This window comes from Homo sapiens, chromosome 8, assembly GCF_000001405.40.
Source record: "Homo sapiens chromosome 8, GRCh38.p14 Primary Assembly".
Lineage (NCBI taxonomy): Eukaryota > Metazoa > Chordata > Mammalia > Primates > Hominidae > Homo > Homo sapiens.
Genome location: NC_000008.11, coordinates 112,480,462 through 112,492,870, shown reverse-complemented (window position 1 = coordinate 112,492,870; position 12,409 = coordinate 112,480,462). Strand labels below are relative to the sequence as shown.

The following is a 12,409-nucleotide window of genomic DNA, read 5'->3' as shown; positions in this document are numbered from 1 at the left end:
ACGGTTGTTATACTATGTTATTTAGGGAGTAATGACAAAAAAAGTCTGTATATATTCAGTACAGATACAGTTTTTTCCAAATATTTTCAATCTGCAGTTGGCTGAATCCACAGATGCAGAACCCATGTATTACGGAGTGCCAACTGTATTTTAAAGCAATTAATGTTATACTAACACTGTTTTACAGCAAAACTGCGAGAGTCCTGCTTTGATCCAGGCAATATAATGAATGGCACCAGACTTGGAATGGATTATAAATTAGGGTCAACAGTCACCTATTACTGTGATGCTGGTTATGTTCTTCAAGGTTATTCAACACTCACCTGTATCATGGGAGATGATGGAAGACCTGGATGGAATAGAGCCTTGCCAAGTTGTCATGGTAAGGAACATATTTTTTGGCTGAATTTTCATGATTAGAAAAAATCAAAAAATATTTAAAGACATTTCTGTGTTTCAGAACATCAACTATTCCACATACAATCTACAAGTGTCGTACTAGCAATGCAGAGATTTTATCAAACATTTTAAAGTTGAATTCAATAAAGACCTGGTTTTGGAAAAGTGCTTATATTCCCAGGTGTCTCTAAAGCAATATGTGTACTATAATAGGCAAACTTTCTGAGAACTGGGTTACTGCCTGTTATGCTAATTTGTGTGCCTTCAGGACTTGCACCTGAAAACGTTAGGTGCTCAGAAAATATTGGCTGAGTACATGAGGAACAAACACACTGAAACTAACATTTCAACACAAGTAGATAAATTTAATAATTTAAATATTATTAAGAACTGGTGATAAATCTTTATCTGTAATAAGGATAAAGAAGAATATGTATTTCTTCTAGGAATTAGGTTGTCTAGAAGGAGATATAATACTGCATATTTAAAAATCATATACTTGTATATAACTCTCTCTATATAAGAAAGGAAAAACAGAGAAACAGTGATATCATTGCTTAGGGTTACTAGAGACTCCCTAATCCATTGAATGATCCTAGTGCATTGTACAAAAATTAACACAGAAGTGATATCATCTAGGACAGATTTCCCCAGCTATAGGTCACCAACAGTGAATCATAAAATCAATTCATTGGGTTGTGACCAGCATTTTTATAATAGACATAGAAGTTAATCAAATAAAATTAAATTAAAAGTTAATAAAATAATAGGAAAAAAGTATACTTTAAGGAACATAGAGAGAGTACTTTTTTTCTTTGTTTTTGAGGTGGAGTCTGGCTCTGCTGCTCAGGCTGGAGTGCAGTGGCGTGATCCGGGCTCACTGCAACTCCACCTCCCGCAATCAAGTGATTCTCCTGCCTCAGACTCCCTAATGACTGGGATTACAGGTGCACACCACCACACCCAGATAATTTTTGTATTTTTAGTAGAGTTTTTGCAATGTTGCTCAGGCTGGTCTCAAACTCCTGGCCTCAAGAAATCCATCCACCTCCACTTTCTAAAGTGCTGGGATTACAGGAGTGAGCCACTGCACCCGGCCGAGAGTACATATTACTTTTGGAACTTTTCTCTGTTATATATAAAGAAATAAATAAAATACAATAAATATACCTCTGTGTATATATTTACCTGCATGCATTCAAGTGTTTGAATTGGTCTATGATATAAATTGCATTTTTTACTATTAATTTCAGTGAAAATAAATGACAATTTTTGATATCTAATACACATAGTAATTTTTCCTAGTTGTAGAATGTATTCACTTATAAGAATTACATGTGCCCAATTTCTGACTTACCCTTCTCTGGATTTATTTTGTCTCATCTATGAAATAGAGATGATTAACATTTTTTACTTCAAAATATTGTTATAAGAAACAAAGAAATGGTAGACATCTTCTGATTGGTCCATCATTACCAGAACAGCTGGTTAATTTTTGACTTGCATTTATGGTTCATCTATCAGAAGGCAAAAGGAATAAATAGAGTAATAACTACTTTGGGATTAATTGTTCCAAAGAGAGAAAAAGTGATTGATGGCATGGAAGTTTATAGGAAATTTAGGAGAAAGGGTCACTGTATCATATTAGAATTTAGAACCATATAAATTAGTATTATGTAATTTAGAATTAGAAAAATCTAATTTAGCTAGAAAAAAATATTAAACATAGAAAATAACTTTTCAAATTTTACTGTCAATGATCATTTGGAAACTATAGAAAATTTCTGAAAAATTTCCAGGAGCCAGATTCAAAATAACTAAAAGTCATGATGCAGAAATATCAAAGGACACAAAAAACTATAGATTATTAAGATAGATGTTAATCGCAGGGATAAATGATTAAGTAGATGGCTTTCAATGACAGGTGAAAAAGTCAGGAACACTAGACTAAAGTATGCTTTCACTAAGAATATGCCCACCTAATATAATCATACTCCTTTCCAATAGGTCATAGAAATGTCAGTTTCAACATGAAATGTGCCATAATATTTTTTTAAAAATCCTTTTGAGCCAAAACCATTTTATAGGATCACTTATGGCCCAATTAAGTATACTTAATGTTGGTTGAATAGTTCATATCTACAGACAATTTAGAGCATACAGCAGACCTGAATTCAAATAGATGTCTTCTGACACCTGTGACCTAAGGCAAGCTGAGTCTTGACTTTTAAATCTCTAAAACTAGATTAATAGTTATTAATTCAGTAAGTTATTGTGAAGATTCAATTAGTAAACACAACACATATAGAGAATCTAGTAAAGTTTCTGACAAAAGTTGGAATATAAATATATGGGAGTTGTGATTTCCAACGCAGAGTTCCAAGAGAAGCAAAGTGCTGATAAACATGCATCACATCTTGCATCAGGTGTTATGTTTTGGTTAACTAGTATACTTCTGTCATTTTAATATTAATTAAAAATAATTTATCTATATTATGATGTGAATACACACATTCATTCACTCCTGAAAAACAGGTGTTGAGTATTTAAAAATTTCCCTAAGAGATAATTGTTACCATCAGTTAAGTATCATTAGACTTTTAATCAAAATGGACATGATATTATGGAAATCGAATAAAATTTATTCAGTGAATTCTTTAAGCTAATAGAAAAGAAGTTCAAGATAAGTTTATGATTGCAACCAATAATTTCTAGTATAGTAAAACAAAAAATCCTGTTTTAGAGCTAGATATCTTTAATACTAAACAATGAATTTTTTAAAAAAGTCTGAGTTTCTGCGTGACTTTTCAATTTATTTAGTATATCTAATCATAAGATATTGTGTAATTTGCAAGGTTGTTGAGAAAATCATATTAAATAACTTATTTTAAACATTGGTCTGTGGCTGTCACTGTCACACAATAAGGAGAATTTGATATATTTTTGTTTCTTAATCAATGTCACATATCAAATTATTTTTCTTCAGCACTTATACACAGGACTGGCTGACTTTCAGATGTAATAACTTAATATCTTTTTTATTTTTTCAGACAGGGTCTCACTCTGTCACCCATGCTGGAGTATAGTGGTGCAATTGTGGCTTACTGCAGTCTGTACTTCCCAGGTTCAAGCAGTTCTCCCACCTCAGCCTCTCAGGTATCTGGGACTACAGGCATGTGCCACTACACCCAGCTAATTTTTTATTTTTATTTTTTTTGCAGAGACAGTGTCTCACTATGTTACCCAGGCTGGTCTCGAACTACTGGCCTCAAGTGATCCTCCCGCCTTGGCCTCCCACAATGCTGGGATTACAGGCATGAGCCACCACACCTGGCCTAACTTAATACTTAAAAGTCAAATTTAGTATTTAAAGTATGTGTAATAAGCCAGAGGGTTCATTGTTCGTAAAAACAAATTATTTTTTATTTTTTTAAGATAATTTTTTTATTTTTATCTGAGATATGCATATGATAACTAAGAAAATAATAAAAAAGTAGCTCATATTTAAAGCAATGGTCATCTGCCTTATCCCTCTCTATCCTCTTATTGGTCAGAAGCTGAAGATTCTGATTTCTAGTTCTGATTGCTATGATGGCCCCTCCCAAAACTCCATATAACATAGGAAGATCTGTTTCTTTATTTACCAATTCTAGATAATAATATCTTATTATTCCCTGATACAAAAGATGATGTAACAGACACAATCCCTCTCTTCAATGTTTCAGTGTTATATTATTTGGGGTTATTCTAGTGATTGCTTTTGCTATACATTAATATGTGTACGCCTCTATTTCTAATTTTATCAATGTTTGAGAATTAGGTGACTGGCCCTTTGCTGCTTTTCAGCCGAGGTCCCATCCCACAGTAGGTATCCTGACTAAAATCTCTGATGAAACTGTGACTGACTGGTAGGCATTGCTTTTGAGTGCATACGTAGGAAGTTAACTGTGATTCCTAGGAGTGAAAATAAGCAAAACTTTTTCTTTGTTTATTCTTTATTTTTTTAGTGTAGAAGCAAATACCAACATGATCATATTCTGCAGACTCTTAGAACACAACTACATTTCGCTTTTTCTTATAATGTTGCCTTAGTCGCACCCTAGAAGAGCATAAGCTCCATGCAGTCATAGGCTATAATATCGTGTTTAGCGTGTAACACCTTAATTTATATAAATAGGCTCTTGTTAAATATCTGTAAACTCAAACCGAACCAAATCAATTTATAAAGTTTGTCTATTTTAGAAGATAGATTTTTACCATGATTTAGGATTAAGTGTATATGTTAAATCTGAAGAAAATGTTTTTAAGAGCTTAAGTTGGACACTGGGAGATTATATTTGTCAGAAGTAAATCCAAAATGATTGCATCCTGTGGTAAGTCCTGTTCAGTGATGAGAAACTTTGCAGTTTAGCTGATGATATTGTCATATATATTAAATAATAGCAGAACAGCATATCTGTGCCTACAATTCCTTTTGTGATTAAAAAAATTTGTTTAGAAAATAATTTCTTCCCTGTTTATTTTTCTTACTTTAAAAAGTATCTTTTAAAACTCTGTAGTAATTTACTTATATACAGTCATACTGAATAAAAGTAGAAGTCATATATCATTCTTATCCATAATCTCACTCAATATTAGGTAAAGGTAATAAAACAAAAATAGTGACAGATTCCAGATTTTCCCCTTAATATTATTTGCTTGATTTATCTGACCTAATCATGTTGCCTTGACTTATTTTATCTAATGGCGCAGGTCTAACCTTATCCAGAGCATCTGCCGTCTCTTACCTCTTTTCCTCTTTCCTAACTAGTTTTTCTCCTTCCTTTGTTCTCCATATAGTATCTTCCAAACACAATAGAGTGATCTTTGGAGCATAATTCAGATTATATCATATTTACTCAAAATCCACCAATGGCTTCCCAAATCAGAATAAATGCCAAAGATCTTATAATCCAAAGTTCTACTTCATCTGCTCATACACACCCTGACCTCTTTATTGTTTCCTCCCTCTGCTACATTCTTTGAGTGACACCAGGCTCCTTGATATTTCCTCAAAGCACTGATCAGACTTCTGCCCCACATCTTTTGCACATGCTGTTCTTTCAGCCTGGATTATTTTTACCCCAGCTCTCTGGCTGTCTAGCTCTCTTGTTTTCTTCAGGCATCTAATCTCTTGTCTTCTTACTAGAAGAAAATTCCTATTTACCCTCCCCGTGCTCCTCAGAGCTCCCAGGACAGAATCAATATCTATTCTAAAATTGCAACTCTATATCCTGAATAAAGATTTATTTGATGTATGTAAAGCCCAAAGTACTTTCAGGACCTCATAACTTTCAAATGTAAATCATTAAACTAGAGAGTACTGACCACCGTACAAATGAAATATTCTTAATCTTTTCCATTGTTACAACGTACAGTGAGCATCCAATTAATAGGCAGTTATAATATATGACCCTAAGAATAAACATATTTAGACTGTTAATGAACTACTAGCTCACCAATTATTCCAAAGAAAAGATTATATCATTTGTTGATTCCTTTTAGTCAGGTGTTAAAAGTACCATTATGCCTGGTCCTGCATTTAAAATTGGGGATAACAACATGAATTCAACCTTGTCCTTGCCCTTAGAGAGTTTATAATCTGATGAGATACAGATAGGTAAAGTCCATTGCTAGAAATAAAAACAGTACTGTGAGCACAGCATGGATATACATCTGATCTTGCTGTGAAGAGAGATCAGGGTGGCTTCCTTATGAAAGTGATATGTAAACAGAATTTTAAAAGTATAAGTAAGAAGAAACTAGGTGAGCCACAGGAAATAAAGAGATTATGTGTTTCACAACTAGGGTTCAGCATATATAAACATGTAGAAGTAAAGAGCAAATAGGAAATGCTGGTGGAATTTCAAGTAATTCAGTAGAACAAGAGCATAAGGAGGAGGATTGTTGACAGATGACAGCTTACCTGTATCAAGCTGGTAATAATAATATTACATATTATTTTGTGTTTCACCATAATGCCATGAAGTAGAGACTATTAATATTCTCATTTTATAGATGAGGAAACCAAGACACAGAGAGAGGTTCATCCACTAGTTCAAAGTCACACATGGTTAGCAGTCTTCTTATGAAGCCATGATCTTAATCACTGCCCTATAGGTAGACTGGTTAATTCTGCAAAGGACTTTGTATTGACCTTTTTATATCTCCAGAACCAAAGAGTGCCTGGAATATTTTAATTGGTTTAATGTTTTACAAATGATGTATGGCACTAAGAATAAGTGGTGAGATTGAAATCTTCCTCCAGGCTAAGTATGAGAATTAAGAGAATGTAAATTCCTACCAAAAAAAAAAAAACCTGATAGAATTTTTCATCTTAAATGCATTTTTGTATTTCATCTGAAATACAACTCTGGACAGTATACAAAGGCCTATATAGATATACTTAGCCAGCGCTAGCTCTGTTCTTTTCAATACCTTTGTTTCACATATGCTGATATAAGATCTGGATTATGCAAAAAAAAAAAAAAAGATTTAAGTCACTCAATCACTGATGACCTCTAAGGTCTGTCAAAAGTGCCTAAACACAAATATGTTAAGATTAGACATCCAGCGGTCTTCTGGCACCATTCTCTGTTCAACTTCCAAGTATATGTGGAATGATACAAGCTTTTAAAAGAAGAGCCCTCTTACCCTGTTAATTAAAGAGAAAGCTTTGAAACAAACCAAAAAATAAGAAGTCAATTTTATAATTACAGCTTTCCAACTTTAAAGTCATCTCTAATTTACCAATTATTCATATGCCTTACTTTTAATGAAATCATATTGTTTGGGTATATATAATTCAGAAATAAATAACTACACTTTTATTTCAGATATTTTGTTTAAATGGCATGACTTGTCTTGTGCTAAGATCCTTATGTCAAATGTCCTTGAGGTTTACAAAATTTTTTGGGGGTGTGAAATAAGTCTAGAGTCTCATTCCATTATCAATGCATATAGAGATTATCTAATCTAATATACTGAGCCATTGGCATTTGAAATCATTTAAATATGTAATATAATTAAAGCATGCAGACAAAAGATTCATAAAACAAATGCTTAGTGGTAAATTATGTCTGTGTATCATCAAATATCTGCTTTTCATCAGCAGCACACAGGAATTTTGTTCACGGATAAAATACACAGATTATGTGTTGGAAAGGTTTTCAATAGAGAAGCGTAATGTATTTTAATGTATTTTGCATTGCATTGGGATAAAACCAAAGCATATTTTGTTTTCATACGATAGGGGAAAATTATTATTTAAATGGAAACAAGAAGAGATGCTAATGTTAGTGAGCACTTGCTATTTTTCTGACAGTCTTACATACACTCTGTCTCCAGTTGGCCTCCTGGATGCTAGTCTAGAGAATCATTAACATTGTTATAAACAAATCCCTGCTGCTATGGATTCTGGAGCATACTATGTGGAGTAGCCAATGTAAGAAGTAATTTGCAAATCAATGCCTATAATTCAGAGTATACAGGTTGAGAATCCCTAATCCACAATGCTTGGACTGGAGTTTTTCCGATTTCAGATTTTTTTCGGATATTGGAATATTTGCATTTATACTTACCAGTTGAACACCCCTAATCTGAAAATCCCAAATCCAAAATGCTCCAATGAGCATTTTCTTTGAACATGAACTTTGAATATCATGTTGGTGCTCAAAAATTTCAGATTTTGGAGCATTTTGGATTTTGCGTTTTGAATTAGGGATGCTCAACCTGCATTTTATTGTTACCATTGACTTGGGGTTCATATTTAAACCATATCTCCAGATGGACAGTCATATGGATTCTCATTGTACGAAGATGTGCCCCATTCTCAACTACCATGTAGTCTACATTTAAGTGAGACCTCAAATGTACCTTCCTGGTGTATTGTCAGTTTTACTGGACCATATATATATATGTGTGTGTGTGTGTGTGTGTGGGTGTGTTGAATCAACTTAGTAATTATCTTCTTACAAGTGAAGAAAATAAAGTATATAACAGTAACTGTTAGTAGTCATGGCAAGATTCAAATGGTATTAAGGTAATAGTAACATTACCTTATACACCATTTTGAGGTATCTGAAACGATTATAATGCAGTATAAAAAATCTATAATTTCTACTGGTGACAAAGTCCCAGTTAACTTTTACTATTCATGTGCTTTGTTGCCTACATTTGTAATTAAGAGAAATGCTAAAATTCAGTTAGAAAAAAATTCGGTTAAAGTCTAGAGAAAATATAGACATTTTTCTTCTTCATCTAAATTTCTGGAAGAAGGAAAGGAGCTCCTGAATATAACGGAAAGGAGAAGATGAGTCACATTCTCTTCTTTAGAAGTCTGAGGTGGAATAACAGCCAATGCTACTAGTAGTCTTATTTCACCCCAGGCTTCTAGAAGATAAAGAGTTAAAGAAAAATAGAGGACCACATCCACCTTGACCTTCAACAGCCAGGCAGTGACCTCAACCATTGAGAAACAGCTGAATTGACATGGCTTCCTCTCTTTGGGATGGAGTACTCTGCTCTTGATCCTTAGAGAAAAATTAAGAGAAGAAAATACAAGCCATGAACTTCTCCTAGAGAGTGACAGTGCTCAAAGTAGGATCACTTAAAGGCATTCCTACCTCTGTCAAGGGAGCAGTTTGGCAAACTACTAAGAAAGTTTCTTCTGCTATTACCTCTAAGCTTTGTATCCTCCTGAGATTGATGAGGTTAGTTCATTTTCCTAAGGCCTTACAAAAGCCTCATTATATTGCCAGCAGAAGATTCTGGAGTAGATCAGGGCAGTTCCCTAATTCATTTTCCTAAACCCACACTACATACCAGATCTAACAGACACTTCCTGTTCCAGTTCAAGTTTGTATTTCCCTCTGTCCTAAGGCTACTCAGTCAGTAAAGACTGAAGCTGGAATTTAAACCTAAACCTTTCTCTTATTTTTCTTTTTTTTTCGAGGTGGAGTCTCACTCTGTTGCCTAGGTTGGAGTGCAGTGGCGCAAGCTCGGCTCACTGGAATCTCTGCCTCCTGGTTCTCTTGCCTAAGCCTCCTGAGTAGCTAGGATTATAGGCACCTGCCACCATGCCTGACTAATTTTTTTGTATTTTTAGTAGAGATGGAATTCTGCCATGTTGGCCAGTCTGGTCTCGAACTCCTGACCTCAAGTGATCCACTGGACTCTGCCTCCCAGAGCTCTAGGATTATGTGCGTGAGCCACCGCGCCCAGCCTAAACCTAAACCTGATTCCAATGTGCTGAGTTTTATGTTGTACTCTACCATGCTATCCTAAATGGAAGGATTTTTTAAATCTATGAGTTTTATACTCCATGTATTTAGTCAATAGCAAGATATTAATAATTTACATTTTGTCATTTTTCCTAATACAGCATATATTTATTGGAAACCTATTATAAAAACAGGTACTATGCTAGGCTCCAGAGATACAAATAGTATGCAGAAAAGACATGGAAACTTTGATTTGACAGATCTTATAGACTAGAGATAGATATGGACATTAATCAAATAGCCATACAAAATAAATACAGAATTACAAACTGCATTTACTGTCCTAAAAGTAATGGTGGTTTCTGAAAAAGTCTGGAAATTAGAGAAAACATTCCCAAGAAAGCAACATTTTTGAGGCGATTTGGTAGAAGTTAACAAATTATTAAAGAGCGCTTTTCCCTTTAAAGTCATTTTAAACTAATATATTAGTTGCTTTAAGTAATTTCTTTAAATAGTAAAAGGTTTTCATCATTAAAAAGCAGTAAGACATCAACTATGTGATAAAAAGCTATTTTAGTTTCAAAAACTGCCAATAATTCAGATCTTTTAAGAAATTATCTTCCCATACAGTTTCCTAAAAAGTTAGCTGTTTCCAGGAACTTGGGGGTAGTGACAACAGCGTGCGACTACTAATGGGTACTGAAATTATTTTGGGAGTGAAGGAAATGTTCTAAAATTAGAAAATGGTGTTAGTTTTAAAACTCATGAATATGCTAAAAAGCATTCAATTGTACACTTTAAAACAGTGAATTTTATGTATGTAAATTATATCCCAATTTTTTAATTGGGGTACAAAATGAGTCACATAGTATCATACATTAACTGTCTATGCCCTCCAAAACTATTACTAGTAGTAGAATTTGTATGTGGTAACATGGAAGATCTATTCAAGGATATAGCTGTTCATAGGACTTTGTCATAGAATGACTCTTTCTGTAGGATCACACTCTCTGATGGAGAAAACAGCTCACAGAGCACTGAGGGATGAAGGTGATGGCTTCCTAGCCAGGGAAATCTAATGAATGAATCCAGGCAATCAGTGAGATGACAGGTGTAGAAGCTTACATCCTAACATGACTTATTGAGTCATTAAAATGGTTTATAAGCCACTGATTACCACACTGATATGGAATTTTTTTTTTTTAGTATTAAAAAGAAGTGTGAAATTTAAACAAAGTCAATTCACATGTAATGGAGCATTATTGGAGGCTTATCATTTAAGGCAGTTAAACAAAATGAATTATGTGTTGTTATAGGGGAGACATAAAAAGACATGAAGGGAATGGCTGGATAGTTAGGTATTTTTACTAAGATCAAATTTTTGAACAAAAGAAACAAACAGTAGTAATTTTAATTTTAAAGTCAATACTGGTAATAGTAGCTGTCTGAATTCAAATTCATATCACAGACTTTAAGGGTTAGGAAAGCCTTCTCTTAAAAAATGCTCCATGAGAGATATAGCTTTCAAACATATTCTATACTAGGATTTATGATTTGTGACATTCAATCAGGCTATATCAATGCATAAGTAATTTACTAGAAATATACTAGCAGTTTTGTAAGGTACAGCAGTTCTTTCAAACTGAAAGAGTCACAGGCCACATCTAGTAAATTATTGATTTAATATATCACATTGCTCTTTTGTGACCTGCAAGAAGTCATCACTTTTAAAAGTACCTAACTTGCTTTCTGTGAATAATTTATACATTATATAATAATTTTCATTACAGAGTATATTTGATAATAAATTATGCATTACACAAGTGAAGAGACAGATGTGAAATTGCAAGTAGCTTAAGGCTATGTTGCCTGTATTATAATGTCTCTAAGATACCTGAACATTCAAGTAGCATTTCTCCCACATAAATGTTTTGAAATTTCTTCTAATTCACTCAGTGATAAGTTTCTTCTTTTCTTCTTCTGCTCCTCCTCCTCCTCCTTCTTCTTTTCTTCTTCTATTCTTCTGTCTTGCTCCTTCATCCCACATACATACCCCTGCTCAAAGTGGTATTTTCAGTGGATGATTGGATACCTTAAAACCTGGTGGTGTGATGGTCTGATTTCTCCAGAAATATCACATCTGTCTACTGTATCATTGCATACATAATTCATGGGTAAAACAAGAATATATGTAATATAGTTGGATCATGGACACATTTTACTTATACAAATCAAATGAAACAAATTCAGCCAAAAGATAATTTTTTTAAATTAAACAAATAGAAGAATAAAGAACAAGAAAACTAAGAAACTGTGTGAATAAAACTTCACTCACTAAATAAGCATATTCCTTAGACTGATAAGATATTAGCATGTGTATTTGTCTGTTTGCATTACTATAAAGGAGTACCTGAAACTGGGTAATTTAGGAAGAAAAGAGGTTTAATTGGCTCACATTCTGCAGGCTGTACAGGAAATGTGGTCTGCCATGCTTCTAGTGAGGGTCTCAGAAGGCTTCCAATCATGGTGGAAGGTGAAGGGGGATTAGACACATCACATGGCAAGAGAGGAAGCAAGAGAGAGAGGGGGAAGGTGCTACATGGTTAAACAACCATATCTTGGGAGAACTCACTCACTATCGCAAGGATAGCACCAAGCCATTCATGAGGGATTTTCCCCCATGACCCAAACACCTCCTACCTGGCCCCACCTCCAATATTGAGGATTACATTCCAACATGAGATTTGAAG

General features: G+C 34.0%; 1 protein-coding gene across 10 annotated transcripts in view; it reads left to right on the top strand.

Moving 5' to 3' along the window:
- CSMD3 (CUB and Sushi multiple domains 3) overlaps positions 1-12,409 on the top strand; it is a 1,214,012-nt gene that overhangs the window by 944,069 nt on the left and 257,534 nt on the right. For all 10 annotated transcript variants that reach the window (NM_001363185.1, XM_017013010.2, NM_052900.3 and 7 more), the window contains one exon: positions 188-382. In NM_001363185.1, coding sequence (NP_001350114.1) covers positions 188-382 — 195 coding nt within the window. The remainder of the gene's footprint in view (positions 1-187; positions 383-12,409) is intronic.